The 20,030-nt window shown below is 40.3% G+C and overlaps 2 protein-coding genes across 9 annotated transcripts in view; one reads left to right on the forward strand and one right to left on the reverse strand.

The window, feature by feature from the left end:
* The window catches only part of TMEM164 (transmembrane protein 164), a 181,883-nt gene extending 177,879 nt beyond the window's left edge, over positions 1–4,004 (forward strand). For all 6 annotated transcript variants that reach the window (NM_001353849.2, XM_047442566.1, XM_047442565.1 and 3 more), the window contains one exon: positions 2,059–4,004. The gene's annotated coding sequence lies outside the window, so the exon portion shown is untranslated. The remainder of the gene's footprint in view (positions 1–2,058) is intronic.
* The window catches only part of AMMECR1 (AMMECR nuclear protein 1), a 246,048-nt gene continuing 239,956 nt past the window's right edge, over positions 13,939–20,030 (reverse strand). For all 3 annotated transcript variants that reach the window (NM_001171689.2, NM_001025580.2, NM_015365.3), the window contains one exon: positions 13,939–18,387. In NM_001171689.2, coding sequence (NP_001165160.1) covers positions 18,273–18,387 — 115 coding nt within the window. In that variant the 3' untranslated portion in view covers positions 13,939–18,272. The remainder of the gene's footprint in view (positions 18,388–20,030) is intronic.

Here is a 20,030-nt window from a genome sequence, read left to right on the forward strand (position 1 = left end):
CCCATGGAATGTGTCATCCACCCCGCTGAGGGGTAGGGAGCAGCTTGAGATGGTTACAACCTGATCCCCCAATGAGCTTTTCCCTTGTCCTGGTTTGCCAGTGCCAGTGGAGGAACAGAAATACACAGATGTCAGCCTGACAAATGCAATGGTTTAATCAAAGGATGTGTGGTTTGCTAACCTTGGCAACAGGCAAGGCCAATGTAGTCTAAAGTCAAGGACTCTGTTACTGCCTGAACCCCCCCGCCCCGCCCACAGTCAGCACTCTGCCTCGCATCTGAATTGCACACCTGGGATGTCTGAGCTGCTGGGCAAAGGGGTTTAAGAGCCAGGGAGGCAGTAGGGAGAGGCTTCTCCTGTGGCTAATGGATGCCCTCCACAGCTGACTTCCTAACTTTCAATAACTCCTGCATCCCAGCCAGCCGGTAATCTCTGCATTTCACACTGAGGCAGGTCTTTGCAGTGGGGGTGGATGCTTCCTTGACACATCTGTGCTAGGAAACAGGGCCAGTAGCATGAGTCACAGAGCTGTTCTCCTGTCCAACAACCTATTCTCAGCCCCATCACTGCTCCAGCCAGCAGGCCTCTCTGCTCCCTTCCACACTTCCCTTCTCCATCCAAGGGGCTTGCCCAGGTGATGCCAACCTGCCACTGTTGTCCCTTCTCTATACTCAGGAGGCTCATGCTTTTTAGTATTGCATTTTTAGAAAGACCTTGGGCTCTCTAGTATTCTGTCCCCTGAGAACAGAGGGATCTTCCTGTGCATTCCAAGACATACACTCAGATTTCTAGCGTGTCGGCGCTAACAAGATACCTCTAGTACAGTGGACTGTCGATTTTGTTGCTCATTAATCCCCTGGGGAGCTTTAAAAATCTCAGTCCCCAGGCCTCACCCAAGCTCATAATTCAAAGCAAACTTCTTTTGCTTTCAAGTTTCCAGGCCGGTTCTGAGTCATCTCTTTGACCTGACCGTCTATAGCAGTGCCTTTTTAAAAAAGGAAATATTTAAGATATACCAAAAGGTATCAAGAATAATACCTAAATTCAGCTTAAAAAAGAACATTACCAATACAGTTGAAGCCCCCTTGCTCCAGAGGTGTACAGATTCTTCCTCAGCACCTCAGGGTTGCTGGAGAGGTGCCTCAGAAGCCACCTCAGGCAGCGGGGGATGCATCGGAGTAGAGTGGGTGGTGCTCTGGCCTTTTCCCTGGCTTCACCCAGAACAACTCCAATTTTATTCTGTTTTGTATATTGAGGTTTTGGAAATAACTTTGTTGGGAAAAGGAGTTAAAAGTTACTTATTTACAACCTCAGTAGTTATGTCTCTATCCTTTCCCTAAATAATAGTTGTTGTCCTGTAGTAGTCAAACCAGCATTGTAGCAGGACTGAGCAGGCAGGGCCTGCTCTCCCAGTTCTTCCCTTTCAGGTCCCGAGTGCCCTTGGCAAAGTCATACCTTTCCTGAACTCCATTTGTAAAATAGTAGTAAATATCCTTGTCTAGCTTACCCCACAGGACATCTATGAGGAATCCAGTGAGACCAGTGGGTGTGAGAGGGCTCTATAAAGTTCTGTCCAGTGGAAGGGGTTCCTATTTCCAGACAGTTTGGTTACTATGCTTGTTCCCAGAGCACAGAGGTTAGCTGGGGTTTTGACTGCACTCATACCCACTCTGCCTTAATGTGCCCTGTGTGGTTGCGGTCTGTGGTGTGTATGTGAGTGGGTGTTTGTGTGTAGGACAGGTGATACCTCAGTTTATTTCATGGACTCTAAGACACATTTTTTTCACATTTTAACATCACTAAAATTGGAATGCATCTTAAAATCAGTGGCATGACAGTTTAATCAGCACCTTTTTTTTTCAGCAGTATATAAAATAACAGACATCTTATAATCTAAGGCATATTAGAGTCAATGAAATACTGTAATTGTTAACTTAGACTCCTCTTCCTCTTCTCCCATGAAAGTCATCTTCTTGCTAGAGAAAACCCTTTTGGAAAAATATACAGACTTTTAGCATACAGCCTCATTCTAACACTCCTCTTTTTCTTCCCTGCCAGCATCCACCCAGGCCAGGCAAGGCTTCTGCTTCTTGACCAGAAGGGGACCCACTTTGTTGAGCTCTCTCTTGGGACAGATGGTTTGTGGGACATGAGAGGGAAGAGGCAGAGTATACCTGCATAAGGGAGCCCACCGTGCCAAATGACAGGGAAGGAGTCAGACAAGCTAGGCCAGCCAGCCCCAATAGCTCTGGTTTCTTTCTTTCCCCAACAGCAGCCTGGCCAGACAACTCAGCCTGCTTCCCTGGGGAACTCCTAGGGCTAGTCATTGCCAGAGGTGAGGTGAGCTGGCAGAAGTAGGGGTGGGGGTGTGAAGCCCAATGTGTCCTGAACTCCCTGGGTTGATGTGAGTGGCTGTCTGGCCCATGCAGAAGAACACAATGATTTCCCTACCTCCTCCAACAAGGTGGAAGAAGAGTCAGGTAGTAAGCCTTTCAAGGAAAAGCAGCACTTTGTCCTAGGGCACCCTGAGCCATGGGCATTTCACTGCAGTTAGGAATTGCCACCAACATCCCCTCAGTCCTGGCAGTCACTCAAATTAAGCTCTGCCCTTGTAACCTTTAGGCCAACCTCTTCCAGAAGGGAAGAGGAGTGTCTGCATAGTGAGATCTAGGGATACTTGGTCACAGGAAGCCGCTTTTGGACATTTCTCCCCCAGAGAGCTTAGCAAGACATGATCAGCCTGGATTACAGCTGCCCTCACGTAACTGGGTTAAAGTGTTGGCCTACTTAGGCCCCTCCTGCAGTGGCTTCCTTCAAAGCTGATGAGGCCGATTAGGGTGCTATTTCTGAGATCTAGTCGTGTACCCAGAAGCCTGAGGGCGGTCCTCCCCTGACTAGAAAGACAATGACTAAGGCTGGACAGCCAAGGGCAGAGTCAGATTTGCCCATAGGAGAGCACTGCCGTCAGAACTCATGTATGCTTGTAAAAGAACCAAATAATATCAAGGCTAAGTCCCTGGATTTTGAACTTCAAAAACCAAACCAACCAATCAGTTTTCAGGGATAGGCCTAGTCCTACACCTTTGCCATCTTCAGAGCTAAAGAGAGATAGCAGATCGTCAAAATAAAATCTTCAATTATAGTTGTAGTCACTAGCCGCCACTCAGTAGGTTCTGTGCATTTGAGATTGTTAACTAACCTCTGAGCCTCAGTTTGCTCATCTACAAAATGGCAATAATGATAGCATCTACCTCATAGGCTATTGTGAGGATTGAATAGAAAAGGCACATAAGGCACTTGGCACAGTACCTGGCAGCACATTTGTTAGATACCACCACTACCATCACCACAACCATTACCACCACCATTGTCACCATCATCATCCTCATCAAGACAACAGTGAATGGGAAAAAGCTCAGTCTCTGGAGCCTGACAAACTTTTTTTGAATCCTGGCTTTGCCACTTCACAGCTACGTGGCCTCAGATAAGTGACAACTTCTTTGAACTTGATTCTTATTCTGTAAAATGGGAAACTCATAAGGCTATTGAAAAGTGTATAACATGGTTCTTCACAGTAAGCACTCAATAAATGTTAGCTATTATGATTATTAAAAAGGAGTGATCAAGGTCAGTGGTTGCCTGGTGTTAGGAGGATACAGAGATGAATGGGCTAAGCACAGAGGGTTTCTAGGGCAATGAGACTACTATTCTGTGTAATACTATAATGGTGGATACATTTCATTATATATTTGTCAAAACTCATAGAATATACAATACCAAAAGTGAACCCTAATGTAAACTTTGGACTTTGGATGATAATGATGTATCAGTGTAGGTTCATCAGTTGTAACAAATGTGCCACTCTGATACAGGATGTTGATAGTGGGGTAGGCTGTGTGTGTGATGGGTGTATAGGAAATATGGGGGAACTGTCTATACATTTTGCTCAATTTTGCTGTGAACCTAAAACTTCTCTGAAAAATAAAGTATATTTAAAATGAAAAGGAAAAAAATGGGAGTGATCATACTAGATTGTTATAAACTTAGGATGTTAGCTATAATCCCCATGATAACCACTAAGAAAATAACTAAAATAGAGAGAAGAGGAAATGAAGTGGGAATCAAAGTGGATATTACCAAAAAAAAATACATCAAACACGAAAGAAGGCAGTATAGGAGGAACTGAGGAACAAAAAAAGATATACAGCACAATGGCACAAGTCCTTTATTATCAGTAATCACTTTGAATGTAAATGGATTAAGCTCACCAATTAAAAGACAGACATTGGCAGAATGGATTAAAAAACAACATGATCCAATTATATGCTACTGACAAGACACTCAGTTTAGACCCAAAGATACAGGTTAAAAGTGAAAGGATTAAAATAATAGATATTCTATCCAAATAGTAACCACAAGAGAGCTGAGATGGTTACACTAATATTAGACAAAATGGAGTTTAAGTAAAAAATTGTCATAAAAATGAAGAAGGAAATTTTTACTGATAAAGGGTTAATTCATAAAGAAGATATAACAATGATAAACAAGTATGCATCAAACAACAGAGCTCCAAAATATATGAAGTGAACACTGATGGAATTAAAAACAAATAGTAGACAGTTCTACAACAATATTTGGAGACCTCTGTATGCCACATTAAACAATGGATAGAACAACTAGACAGAAGATCAGTAAGGAAATAGTGTTCAACAACACTGTAAACCAACTAGATCCAATAAACATACAGAACACTATACCCCACAACAGCACAATACGCATTCTTCTTAAGTGTACATGGGATATTCTCCAGGTTAGAGCATATATTAGGCCATAAAACAATTATTTTAAAACATTTTAAAATGCTGGAATTATACAAAGTATGTTTGATCAAATGGAACAAAGCTAGAAATCAATAATGAGAAAAACTGGAGATTTTGCAAATGTGTGGAAATTAAGAACATACTCTTAAAGAACCAATGAGTGTCAAAGAAGAAATCACTAGGGGAATTAGAAAATGCTTTTAGATGAATGAGAATGAAAATACAACATACAACAACTTATGGGATACAGTGAATGCAGTGCCCAGGGGGAAATTTATAGCTGTAAACACCTACATTAAAAAAGAAGAAAGATCTGAAACCAGTACTCTAACTTTACACCTTAAGGGACTAGAAAAAGAAAAGCAAACGAAACCTAAAGCCAGCAGAGGAAATGAAATAATAAAGATTAGAGCAGAGATAAATGAAATAGATAATAGAAGAAAAAGAGTCAATGAAACCAATAGTTGGTTGTTTGAAAGGATAACAAACCACGGCCAAGTGGGATTTATTCCAGGAACTTAAGGGTGGTTTGATGTCAGAAAATCAACCAATGTAGTACACCGCAGTAATAGAACAAAGTAGGGGGTGGGGTGGGAACACGATCATCTCGATATATGCAGAAAAACCATTTGACAAAAGTTAATACCCTTTCATAATAAAACACTCAGCAAACTAGGAGTAGAAGGCAAATGCCTTAACATGATAAAGGGGCGTTTACGAAAAACCCACAACTAACATCATACCTAATAGACAAAGACTGAAAGCTTTTCTCCTAAGATCAGGAACAAGACCAGGATGTTTATGTTTATCTCTGCTATTCAACATAGTATTGAAAGTCCTAGCCAGAGCAGTTAAGCAAGAGAAAGAAACAAAAGGCATCCAAATTGGAAAGGAAGAGGTAAAACTATCTCTATTTGCAGATAATATGACTATATTCCCATAGAATACACACACCAACAACTACTAGAGCCAGTAAATGAGTTCAGCAAAATTGTAGCATATAAGATCAACACACAAAATCAGTTATGTTTCTAAATGCCAGTAATAAACAGTCTGAAAATAAAATGAAAAAAAAAAAGCAATCTCCTTTATAATAGCATCCAAAATAACAAAATACCTAGTAATAAATTTAACCAAGGAGGTAAATGACTTGTACATTGAAAACTAGAAAATATTGCTGGAAGAAATTTTAAAATGTCTAAATAAATGGAAAGGCATCCTGCTTTCATGTATTAGAAAAAATATCCAAATGGCAATAGTCTCCAAAGCCATCTACAGTTTCAGTGCAATCCCTATCAAAATTCCAATGGCCTTTTTTTTTTTTGCAACAATGGAAAAGCCAATCTTCAAAATCATAAGGAAACTCAAGGGGCCTTGGACAGCCAAAACAGTATTGAAAAAGAAAAACAAAGTAGGATTACACTTCCTGATCTCAAAACTCACTGCAAAGCTACAGTAATCAAAACAGTGTGGTACTGGCATAAAGGTGGACATATAGAGCAATGGAATAAGATTGAGAAATAAACGCAGACCTCTATGGTCAACTGATTTTCAACAAGGATTCCAAGAACATTCAATGGGGGAAAGAATAGTATTAACAAATAGTGTTGAGACAATTGGATAACCACATGCAAAAGAATGAAGTTGGACTGCTACCTCACTACACATACAAAATAGCTCAAAGTAAGTCAAAGACCTAAATATAAGGAATAAAACTATACAACTAATAGAAGAAAACATAGAAGTAAATCTTCATGATCTCAGATTTGGCAGTGGATTCTTAGATTTGACACCAAAAACATTAGCAACAATAGAAAAAAATAGATAAATTGGACTTCATAAACATGAAAAACTTTTGTCCGTCAAAGGATATTATCAAGAATATGAAAGACAAACTACATACAGAGTGAGAGAAAATATTTGCAAATCATATATCTGATAATGGTTTAATATCCTGAATATATGAAGAACTCTTACAACTCAACAATAAAAAGTGAAACAGTCGGCCAGGCGTGGTGGCTCACACCTGTAATCCCAGCACTTTGGGAGGCCTAGGCGGGCGGATCATGAGGTCAAGAGATCAAGACCATCCTGGCCAACATGGTGAGAAACCCTGTCTCTACTAAAAATACAAAAATTAGTTGGGCATGGTGGCATGCGCCTGTAGTGCCAGCTACTCGGGAGGCTGAGGCCGGAGAATTGCTCAAACCCGGGAGATGATGGTGGTTGCAGTGAGACGAGATCATGCCACTGCACTCCAGCCTGGAGACAGAGTGAGACTCCGTTTCAAAAAATAATAATAAAAGTCAAACAGTCTGATTAAAAACTGGGCAAAGTACTAGAATAGACATTTTTCCAAAGAAAATATACAAATAGCCAATAAGCACATGAAAAAGTGTTCAATATCAATGATCTTTAAGGAAATACAAATCAAAATCATAATGAGATGCCACTTCACATCCACTAAGATGGCTTTAATCAAAAAAAGAAAAGTAATGATGGTGAGGATGAGAAATAGGAACCCATATACCTTGCTACTGGGAACATAAAATGGTACAGCCACTTTGGAAAATGGTTTGGCAGTTCCTCAAAAAGTTAAAGGTAGGCTGGGTGCGGTGGCTCATGCCTGTAATCTCAGCACTTTGGGAGGCTGAGGCAGGTGGATCACTTGAGGCCAGGAGTTCAAGACCAGCCTGACCAACATGGTAAAACCTCATTTCTACTAAAAATACAAAATTAGCTGGGCGTGGTGGTGGGTGCCTGTAATCCCAGCTACTCAGGAGGCTGAGGCAGGAGAATCACTTGAACCCAGGAAGCGGAGGTTGCAGTGAGCCGAGATCGTGCCATTGCACTCCAGCCTGGGCAACAAGAGTGAAACTCCGTCTCAAATAAGTAAATAAATAAATAAAAAGTTAAGGATAGAATAACCACATGACTCAGTAATTCTCCACTCCTAAGCATATATCCAAGTGAAATGAAAACATATGTTCACACAGAAATTTGTACACAAATGTTTATATAGCATTGGTCCTAAGAGCCAAAAGGTGGAAGCAATCCAAATATCCATTATGATGGATAAACAAACTGTGTTACATGATACAATGAAATATTATTCAGCCATAAAAAGGAACAAAGTACTAAAACTTGGTACAACTTGGATAAACCTTGAAAACATACTCAATGAAAGAAGCCACAAAAGATCACATATTATATGAGTCCATTAATATGATACATCCAGAATGGGTAAATTCAGAGAGATGGAAGGAAGATTAGAGGTTACTTAGGGGTTGGGGGTGGGACTTGGCGAGTGACTTCTCTTAATGGGTGTGGGGTGTTTTTATGGAGTGATGAAAAAGTTTTAAAGCTAGAGAGAGCCAGGGGTTGCACAACATTGTGAATTCACTAACTACCGAAGTGTGCATTTTAAAATGGTTAATTGTATGTTATATGAATTTTCCTATAAAAATGTCCAAAAAATGGAGGGAGGTTGAAAATAAAGGTGTTTCTTTTTCACTTTCAAGTGCTTTGTGCACCCTGCTTGCAGGGCCCACTGTGTAACATTCCCTAGAGCAAAGGATGTTACCTGCACTTTCCCAGCCTACTGCTGACTATTTATTAGCAATGTCTATTTGACCTTCTCCAAGGCTGCAGGGCCAGTTAGACCCATCTACCCAACAGGAACAATCCCATCCTATTTGGATCCAACAACTGGATTAACCCCATGTTTCCCTTTTAAGCCCCATCATTCATGAGTACCACAGACCACAAGATATGCTAGGCCAGATAAACAAGAACCAATTCACCAAGGAGCATGACTTCATGTACACAGGTCACTATGGCTACCCACATCTGCCCCGACCACAATTCTGGGAAAGAGACCATTGCTGAGGCATATGCCAGCAGGGTGGCAATGTCTTCATGCAGAGTTCCTGAAATTCATTTGGATGTCTGAAGTAGAGAAAGCTTAGGGAAATGTTTGCATTACTCACACCAGCACTGTCCCTCAAAATGATGGGGGTTTCCCACTCTGTCCAGTCCAAGACACCCTTTCCATTCTGCTAGGATATGTGGGAGTGGGGAATATGATTGTTCCATCCAGCCGTTTGGCCAGCCCCCATCTCCTATGCTGATACACAGAAACCCACTTATACATGTTGACCCATATGGTAACCTTGGGTCATTCCAAAATACCATTTAGATGGAAAGTGACTATAGCAGCTCTTAGTTTCAATATCTGCCTGATGTTTGGAAACTCTCAGCAGCTTCCTGTCAGTTAAAATGTGATTTAAACATTCTATTGTATACAAGTTGCGCTTCCTGCTTTACAAGAGCCCACATTTAATACTGCCTTCCTGTCCTTTATGCATAGCTAGTGATTCTGAAAGTTACTCCGATTTTCCTTTCCATGTAGTTTACTCTTACTATTCTTTCCTTCTGCCTCATGAATGGATTTTTTTCTCTGTGGGGTAATTTTTCAACCAGTAAACATACTATAAACTGTCTTCTCCTCTTCAGGCCTCAAGATAGCCTCTTAGAGTCCTAGCCTCTCTCTGTCTCTTCTTATCGCCTCATCATAGGAAGGGCCCAATGCCTCTGAGAGGGCAGCTTCACAGTAAAGAACACAACTCGCAGCCACCCAATGCCATTCTGTGTGTCCAAACCTATTTCTTATACAAGCACATCACTTCTCTTCCAGCCACCTTGCATATTCCTGCTAAGGAGCAAGAGAGCCACATTATGGGAACAGAAAGTCTCCTCCACTCAAGAAATTATGATCATGTCCAGTATGGGGTGGCTTCTGGTGCTGACATATTGGAGTGCAAAGAAATATAATTTCTCAACAGGGGCAGTTACAACTATGTTCTAATGCCACTGAGGTGGAAGCTATTTAGTGAAACCCTATAAAACCCTAATGTTACCTGGGCCCCAGTCTGAAGGACTTTACCCAACTAGACCAAACTCATATGCTCCTTACAACTCTTAGCCCAGAGTGGACTGTTTGTTAATTTATCTTACAAAATTATACTATATTCATTCTGTAACCAAGCAAGGTGCCATGCCTCTGGAGGGACAGGCACTCAATAAATATTGATGGATCATGTTGAGCCTGACATTTGGGAGGAAAAGGCCAAAAAAAAAAAAAAAAGCTGTCATTTCATCAAATGATGGCTTCCCAAAAGCTCTCAAAATAACTGGGCATGTTGAGGCTCCAGCAGTGGTTTTGATTGTCCTGTGGGATCCTGGGGTTCTGTCGGAACAGCCCCAAGTTTCCATAAACTTTTTTTTTTTTTTTTTTTGAGATGATGGAGTCTTGCTCTGTTGCCCAGGCTGGAGTGTAGTAGCGCAATCTCGGCTCACTGCAACCTCTGCCTCCTGGGTTCAAGCGATTCTCCTGCCTTGGCCTCCTGAGTCGCTGGGATTATAGGCGTGCGCCACCATGCCTGACTAATTTTTGTATTTTTAGTAGAGACAGGGTTTCGCCATGTTGGCCACGTTGGTCTCGAACTCCAGACCTCGGGTGATTTGCCTGCCTGGGCCTCCCAAAGTGCTGGGATTATAGGCGTGAGCCACTGTGCCCGGCCCTCTATGAACATTTAATTCAAAAAATACGTGTGTGTTGAAATACATAATATTTTGAAACTGTGATAATAAAAACAGAAACAAAAAACACTTAACAACACCTGGTAAGTTAGTTATATACAGAATGGCAACTGAAGACCACCAGTGGGTTAGCAGAAGCCATCAGGTTACTTACTTGTCTTCAAACCTCAGGAGTTTTATGCTTCTCCTGCCCGAACTTCTTGTAAGCTTCAGATAGCTGTGGACTGTGCTGGGTTTTTACACTTTAGACCTATATGTACACACTTTCATAAAATTAATCTGATCTCCGTGCAAATCAGGACCTTCTTGTTGTTGTAGAGCTAAAACATAGAAATAGACCGCTGAGACTATTCATTCAACCCAGTTGCAACATTTTATAGTTATCAAAACAACCTCGTTCTCCTTAATAAGTAGCTTGTATACATTTGTGCTTAATAGCGATGAAATAGTTCTTTCAATCTGATTTTTAACATAACGAGGTGCCAACTAAGATTCTGAGTAAAAAACAAAGAGCTTCTCCCACCATGGAGGGAGACTAAAGGGGGAACAAATTACCCGCCCCTTGTGACTTGGATGTGTCCTTTTAGAATGGGAGCATGAGCTCAAAGATGCCATGGCAGTTGGTGAGCACGGAGGCATGTAATTCAGCCACTGCCCAGCTGTGTGCTGCAGACAGAGAGCATACTCTACATCTCACCTCTGTCAAATTAAGTAATCATCTGTCATGATGGAAAGCTGTAAGTGCAGGTCAGTGTTGGTTTACGTATAGCTGCACCCTCCACCGGCTCTCTGGGTGGGTCCATTTAAACAATTTGAGATATATATAGTCAGTACCTTCCAAACATAATACATTAAGAGGTAATTTTTAATTTTTTAATTGATACAAAATTGTACATATTTATGAGCGACACAGTGATGTTTCAATACATACAATGTATAGTGGTCAAATTAGGGTAATTAGCATATGTGTCACTGCAGACATTTATCATTTCTTTATGTTGGGAACATTCAAAATCCTGTCTTCTAGTTATACAAAGATATATCTTAAATTCATAACTATAGACACCCTACAGTGCTATAGAACACCAGAACTTATTCCTCCAGTCTAGTTGTATTTTTCTATCCTTTAACCCAGTGGTCCCCAACCTTTTTGGCACCAGGGACCGGTTTCATGGAAGACAGTTTTTCCACGGATGGGGTGGGTGGCAGTAGATTCTCATAAGCAGCACACAACCTAGATCCCTCACATGTGCAGTTCACAATAGGGTTCATGCTCCTATGAGAATCTAGTCCCACCACTGATCTGACACGAGGTGGAGCTCAGGCGGTAATGCTTGCTTGCCCACTGCTCACTTCCTGCTGTGCAACCCCGTTCCTAACAGGCCACGGACCAGTTCTGGTCCACGGCCCGGGGGTTGGGGATCCCTACTTTAACCAACCTCTCCCTTTTCACTCTCCCAACCCTTCCCAGCTTCTAGTAACCACTATTCTACTCTCCACTTCTATGAGATCAACTTCTTTAGCTCGCACATGAGTGAGAACATGCGGTATTTACCTTCCTGTGTCTGGCTTATTTAACATAATGTCCTCCAAGCTGATCCACGTTGCTGCAAATGACAGGATTTCAATCTTATTTATGGCTGAATAATATCCCATTATATACACAGCAATTTTTATTAAGGGGTCATTTCTAAACAAGGTTGTAACCAAGCGCTTGGGGTGAGGATGTAGATTGGCTTCAGAACAGTGCTTGAGACCTAATGTGATTCCCTCCAATTCTTGAAAGAGTTCTTCCAACAAGTTTGAGGTTTGAACACGAGATTGTCCCATGGGGCTACAGGTGTCAAGGCAGGCCTTTTAATGCAGTAGCCAAAAATAGTATATCCAGGGCTTTCCTCACTTGCATCCTCCCATTCATTTCTTCCTCCTGTAGGTGAAAAGCTTGAGCATACAGATGGGAAGCTATGAGAGCTTACCCAACCCAAACCCATACTTATCTTGGCTTATGTGGTTGAAGCTGCAGGAAGTGGGAGAAGCCATTCTCTGAATGGGCAGTCATTCACTGGCTGTCCTGGCTGGCAGCTCTGAATCCCGGTGTGACTTCTCCACCGCAGACTTCTCCTTACCTCACACTGATAGGACCCCTTAGATAGGGTAGTATTTCCCAGCAACAGAGGGGCACTGCTTCATCCTACACGCCCATACTTGCCCTCGGAAGCAGTAAAGCTATTTACACAGGGTCCAGAGGGGCATGAAATCTAAAGTGGAAATGCTGAAACTCTGGGAAGAATTTAGGTAGGTGGAGTGTGATTACTGAAGTTGAAATTTGTCCAGACCAGAGTTAACCACTAATGCTGTAAAAAAGAATGCTGTGGGCTCATTAAACTACTTCATTCTACCTGAACCTATTAATATGGTCGAAATCATTGAAAAATCTTATGTCCCATTAAACATGAATGATGAAAATAGGTAAAACCTGAGCAGATGGCTGCCTTTATGGAGCACTGGTTAAAACCACAATAGTCCTCTAGGATCTAAGAACACTTTTTAGCCACTGTGATTGACATAAGCACGTGTCATAAAATTTACATGGTTACCAGGGCTTTGGGGCAATGTAACAGAAATTGTCCTGGATATATTCAACTAGCAGCTAATCTTGAAATGTGCGTGAGACAGCAAATGTTTTAGAAAGAGCCAGAGGTATTTCCATACACAAGTACAATGTCCTTGGTAGCCTTTCCATAGAGAAAGGGATAAGGCAACAGTAGGCAGAGGCAGCACCCCAAGAGATTCCTTTCTTGACATAGGCTCTTATCTGGCCCTTGAAAGTCAATACCACCAGTTGCCCTACCCTACAATCCAGGTGTTTCCCCCAAGCCCAAGTTGGGGGTACCAATCTGGAACTGGAAAAAATAGCTGGTAATAAGTGTAAGCGTGTGGTATGCCTAGTGTGTGTATGAGTACGTACAAGCTCTGGGTGACCACATCTTGAGCATTTTCAGACTCTGTCCTATACTCAGAAAATGGGCAAGCCTTGATGGTAGGAGAAGGGGTCCCCATATCAGATGATTTAACTGAATAGCACTGCTACTGCCCCTCACCAGCTCACAAAGAGGAAATGCCCAATAACCACTGACTGATTTGGAGCGGACCTAAGCACAGCTAAGCTCCCGCCAGAATTCAAGTCTGATATTTGCCTGAGTTCTGTGGCAAAGGATCTGAAGGATCCTTAAAGGATCAATGTGGCCAGGTTAGGGTGTCCAAATAAAGGCTAATCTATATCAGCAAGCCAGGATTCAGAGATAGACAAAAGGATGACATTGGCAAATCATATGGCAGGGAGTGGCTACAAGCAGGTAAGGTTTCCCAAGTGCTAGTTTGGCAATAAATCAGTATCTGTTCCTAACTATATTCCTTCAGAGCCTTCAACTGTTAACCTTTTAGTAAGAAGTACCGACGAGACCAAGATCCTATGATGAGAGAGGTTAAACTTAAAAAAGAAACATAAAATGATAACTCGGTTTTAACATTTTATTGGGTAAATGATTTTAAAGGTAATAACAATAGTGTCAAAACTACTACAATATCTTTCCACAGCCATACCTTACAGACCCACATAAACCTTCTCATATTTTTTCTTTTTGCTCATATTTAATATTGTAAAGCCATACATGTCATATAAAATGCCCATTTCCAATAGTTTCTTCAAACTATTAAGCAATTAAATGTGGAAGGAAGGAGGGCCTAGTTATACTGGAAGGGGTTTCAGGTAATCTGTGATGTCTTACGGTAATCAAAAAACAGGTTACTAAGAAAGAAGGAAAAGAGGAGCTACTCCAGGTAGCTTTTTGCTCATTACAAGTCTCACCATTGTATCACCAAGAACTCATTATGCTGGTGACAGATTCAAAGTAATTTTGGGGAACATATAAAACACTAAAATAACTTAGAAACTAGATCCAAATATTTCAAAAGTAATCAACTTTGATATACAAAAGTAGTCAGAGGTGGTTACAAAAGTTTGTTTGCTCAGTGCGTCTATGTACCAGCGCAGTTACTGGGTAGAGCAAAATAAAAGGTTCATTTTCTTCTGAAATAGCAATAAAAAACAAGGAAAACATATATTTGTATATAAAGGATCAATGCTGGTCTTAAGAATAATGTCATCAGAAACCCTTAAATCGAGAGGCACACAACGGGTTTCCACTTTTAAAAAATAAAAGGAAAGTCACCAGTTTATTTAAATGGAGGAGGTGCTCACACCCCTCAAATAAACTTAATTCATTTTAACATCACTAGCAAAAATCACTTAGAAACTGTACAAAAATAAAAAAGTTAACACATTTAATCCTGCAAGGTTTTTGTAAGGACTGGAAGGCAGGCTTTTGAAGCAGCATTTGGGCATGGCTGGGGGCTTCTTTGGTTTGATCTAACACACATAAGAGATGGAACCTATTCCAGATGACAGTTTCAAATTTCCTGCACATTTGAAGACAAGATAAGAGGCCAGTATACAAACTTCCGGTGTGCTGGGCACTGGGACTGTATGTGCTGGACTGAAAATCTTACAACTGCTTTAAGCTTTAAGGGTGAGGGGAAGCAAGCCTTGCACTTCCTCCATCAATTTCACTGACCTCTCGTGTTAGGGGAGACTACAGAGGGTAGTAGCACATTCTCGTGCAGTCAGAAGGCCACTTGAGGGGTGGGGGACAATTTGTTCTTTTAGAATCTGGTACCTGGCTGACCTTGTTTAAGAACAAGAAAACCCTTCCAGAAATGGAAGCCTTTTGCTACATACCAAAGCAAAGTACGTACTATTTCCAAGAGGAAAAATACCCAGTTGCATCTGAAAATGGAAAACTTAAATGGAACGAATTAACATTTAAAAGGGGCTATGTAAACTTTGTGCTACTCAAATGAAGTTCAAGTATTACTTCTGAGCTGTTTAAAGATCACTGAACTCATACAATATTCTGATGATAAGAGTGCAATTCACATTTGTGTTTCTGAACAAATAAATCACAACTGGCTAGAACACAACCTGTGCAATCAGAATCTTCGTCTGAGTTAAAGACATGCTACATATTTCAACATGTTCAAAGTTAATTCATACCACATAATTAACAGCTTTGTATATACGACAAAGGTGAAAGGGTCTAGCATTTGTTTGAAGCACACCATTACAGTTTGTATAACACCCTTTACACTACAAAGTCTTTTAGTCAAAAGCTACTTAGAGACAAAAATGCACTTTGCATTACTTGAATACAAAAGGAGACAAAACTATCCTTTTCCCCCAAGCCATGTTGGGAAATATTGCTGACCTCGTCCTTTGAAGCCTGCAGGATGGTTATTTCTTCAGTTTAACGTTATTACACTGCTAAGAAAATCTGTATAACATCTGCATATATCAAGGATTTTAAAAAATCTGATATGATTTTAGAGTCCGCATGACCAGTCACGTGACCTGCTCAAGATTGATTAGCACCGTTAAATAAACACACATATATGTATGTATGTATGTGTAAGTATATGTACACACACACATCTATGTATGTAATAAATCTTTGCTAAAAAAACTTCTAACCATAAGCTCACCCAGGACGAGGAGCCTGTTGAACCGATGAGATGATGGATAAGATGGATTTCACGATAATATTGGTCTATTTTGTCTCTCTTCAGTTTGCTTGTTTTATTTACCTTTTTTTCCTTTTTTTTGTTTTTTGTTTTGTTTTTTTTTTGTTTGTTTTTTTTTGCAGCAGACAATATCATTCAGCTTGTGCTCAGTTTCCCTATAAGGGTAAGAAAAGTTTCCATCAGGTAGCCACTTGTTTTTATACTGAAAGACTAATCTGCTCCAAAATGCTCCCAAGTAGAAATGACAGGACTCAAAATCCCTTTCTAAAGCCCAACAGCTAACTTTTTCTGACTAATCTCTAGCTTCATTGAAACTGGCTACCAAGATTGCATTTCAGGCTAACAATTGGCTTCTTAGTTAAGGCATCACAACTGAAAATGGTTATTTCAACAATGGATGCTGTGGATGAAGGAATACCAACAAACTTCTAAGAACTCTCATCAAAAACTAAAGCAATTTGCTTTGCCCCAGTGGCAGGCAGAAGGAATTTAGCCCATTATCTCACAAACTAGGAAAGGATTTTTGAATTCTGAACTAGCAGTCTGTCACTTGTCACAGTAACTATATGTATAAGCTGTATCATTTTGATATTCAGTGACTTTTTTGTAGTTTTAGAATATATATTCTGCAGCATACTTTAATTCATCACTTGATATGTTGGCTTCCTATTTGAAAAAATTATATATATTTTTCCAAAGACACACAGACACACACACATAACCATAAAATGAAGGTCATCTTCCTCCAGAATAATCTGTCATTTTTCCTGGGGATATATGTATGGACCTCCTATCGACATCAGTAAGTTATCTTTGTATGCATCATGGGAAGACTATACTTGCAGATGAGCTGGGCTCTAACTATAGCATATCTGAATGCCAACTCCATTTTCACAGGTGTGACATAACATCTTATCAATGTAGTAAATGTGTTTCTATCAAAAGTATGTAGTGCAGAAAGAAATTCAAGCTATTTTATAGTATCTCTAAAACTCTAATATTGTCCCCATGACAAACATATCTGAAATCATGGCAAATATGAACTTTTGTTTTACTAAATTATCTTTACCATATCTTTAGATGGTAGCTAAAATGGATTCTAGCCAATCATGACTTATTGAAACCTAGAGCTAACAAATTTAAATTAATATAAAATAGACAAATGTCTCTTATTGGTTATTTGCTCAAAATAATTTTTTTTCAGCTTAAAAAAATACTTAAGAGTAAGGAATTTGTCTAATCTTCTGTTTCACATATAGAAACAATAAAGTTTTACAAGAATATTTTTCTAAATTGCCTTTTTTCTAACCCCTCTTAATTCCACTTAATTATATTCTTCTCAAAGGCACTAAATTCTGTATCTGCTCTCTTCCTAATATTTGCTGCTCATAAAATGTTTCCTGTAGCCTTTTTGAAAGGTAGTTTGTACCTTCTCCAAACAGTGTTTTAGTTTGCAAATTGGTTCTATAAAGTGGTGAGGCAGTCTCTTCTATGATAACCAGCACAATAGGGATAAATGATTTCTCTCTCTCTGTGACAAGCCCTATCACGGACCTTTGAATGCTCACTACTAGAACTAAAGTTCATGTATTTTCACCATGGGAAAAACATATACTTAAGGAGTGAAGACCCAACTACTAGGCTGTCATAGCAAAGTGAATTTCAGACAAAAATCAAGAGTAATATACAAATACCTGAATTTGATATGAATTAATCCCAAACTCAGGTATCAAAAAACAACTATCTTACTGAGGAAAACTAAAGACGAACCTAAGTAAAATCCCTAAAAACTGCACACTTTCTTCCATCCACAGTCAAAGGAAGGGAGGCAGGGAAGGAAGAAGGAAAACGGGAAGGAAGAAGGAAAACAGGAAGCAAAACGGGAAGAAAGGCAAGGAGGACAGAAAAACAGAAACCTGACTGAGACAGCAAAGCAAAATTCTACATAATATTATAAGGAAAAAAAAACCCAAAATTATATATGCTGCAAAAAAAAAATCAACGATCTAAAATAATAAAACAGGATCTTAACAAATGCCATTTTTCTACCCGTTACCATGATGATCTTAGTTGACGATGTCGAAGCTTCACCATGGCAACGGAAACTATCATCATAAAATGGTACAGTAAAAGAGATAGCTAGACCAAGAAGGTGTAGGGTCTCCTGGGAAGAGGTCTGCAGAGAGGCCCAGTGACTGGTTGTGCGGCTCAGTGTCAGGAATAATGGTTGTATGGCGGAAGGGGATGCCCAATGCCATTTTGGAAATGATGATGCTGGCGATGAGCAAGGTATTCAGCATAGCTCAGGGTCATCTTTTCACTACGATACCTGAAAGAAAGTCAGGGAAGAGAAAAGTTAACATTGAGAAGTAGGTGACATGCCATTGTCACTGCTAGGAAGGACCTTAAAGATAATTTTATAGATCAGGAAACGGGGTCCCAGAGAGAAGCAGTGACTGCCCAAGGTCACAGAGATAGTAAGTAGCAAAGCTAAGATCAGAACTTGGAAATCAAAAGTCTGAGTCCAGTGCTCTTTGCACTCTACTACTCCTTGTTTAAATTGTTCTTTTAAAAATTTTATTGTCCCCTCAGCCCCAGTTTTCTAACAGGAGTATGCATCTCATTCGATTCAGTTGATTATTTTTCTTCAGAAATCTTCCACCTCTCCCTCTTTTACTGTTCCTTTCTCTGTCCACACATCTACTTAGGTCTTACCATTAAGTAACAACAACAAAAACAACTTTTCTTAATTCTGGTATCCTGAACTCTCACTTTTCCCCATGTCTGGCTTTCTTTTCATTGCCACATTTCTCAAATAGTTGTGTGTATTTTCTGCCTTCAATCCCCATCTCACACTACTACTCAGCTCAGTGCTCCTTGGCTTCTGCTGCCACCCTTCCATGGAAATAGCCATCAGAAGGCTTCCCCTGACTCAGCTTGATCTTTCCATTTGCCCATCATGCCCTTAAGCTCTCTGGTGCTAAGGATTCTATACCTCCACATGCCCCTGGTTCTCCCCTGCCTCTCAGATTGCTCCTTGTCTCTGAATGCTCCTATCCCTGCCTTGTAGAATTTTGTTATGTTTCTGTATTCAGTTATTTTGACTCTATACTGTCCCCCCACAGTGAACCCTATCCTTACAATTTCAATCATATCTAGCCATGAGCTCATACATTTTCATTGACCTACTAGATATTTCTATATAGATATCCTAAGAAGCACCTCAAATCCAAAATCGATGCATAAACTTAACACACTCCTCTTGTGGTCCCTACTTTGATTAAAGGGATTACCTTGGTCCCTTTTATCTAGATTAACGCCTTGACTTTCTTCTTTATTTCTAAATGATGACCCAGTCCTTTCATTTCTTCCACATTATTTTCATATCGATCCCAACCTTTCTTCCCATCTCACTGCCACAGCTCTAGTTAAGGCCCCTGTTGCACCTCTTTTGGACTGCTGCCACAGATTCTTAGATAATACCAACGCTTCCTGGCTCATTTTCCTGTTTCCAATTCCATTCTTATACCTCCCCAAGCCCATCTGATTAAAATCCTTCAATAGCTACCAATTGCCTATAGAACCAGGTCCAAACTAATTACTCTGGAACTCAGGACCCTCAATGGTCTGCCCAACCTACCTTCTGGGCCATATTTTCCTCTAATGATCAGCTTCTCTATTACACTAAAAGACCAGCCCAATCAGACTATTTCATATTCTCAGAACTTGCTTTGTACTTCACCACCCTTGACTCACAAGGTCTTCCTTAAGGGAATCACTTTCCTCCTGTCAAAAAAAAATCCCTTTTTACCTGTCAAATATTCTATCCATTCTTCAAACCCAGCCCCCAGCTGACCTCTTTGAAACTATCTGTTATCCCCCTCCCACCCTCTTAGAATTCCTCTTTCCCTACTTTATGGGAATGGATCTCATATTATCCATCATATTCTGCCTTAGATTAATAATTTTGTC

The sequence above is a fragment of the Homo sapiens genome, chromosome X, assembly GCF_000001405.40.
Source record: "Homo sapiens chromosome X, GRCh38.p14 Primary Assembly".
Classification (NCBI taxonomy): Eukaryota; Metazoa; Chordata; class Mammalia; order Primates; family Hominidae; genus Homo; species Homo sapiens.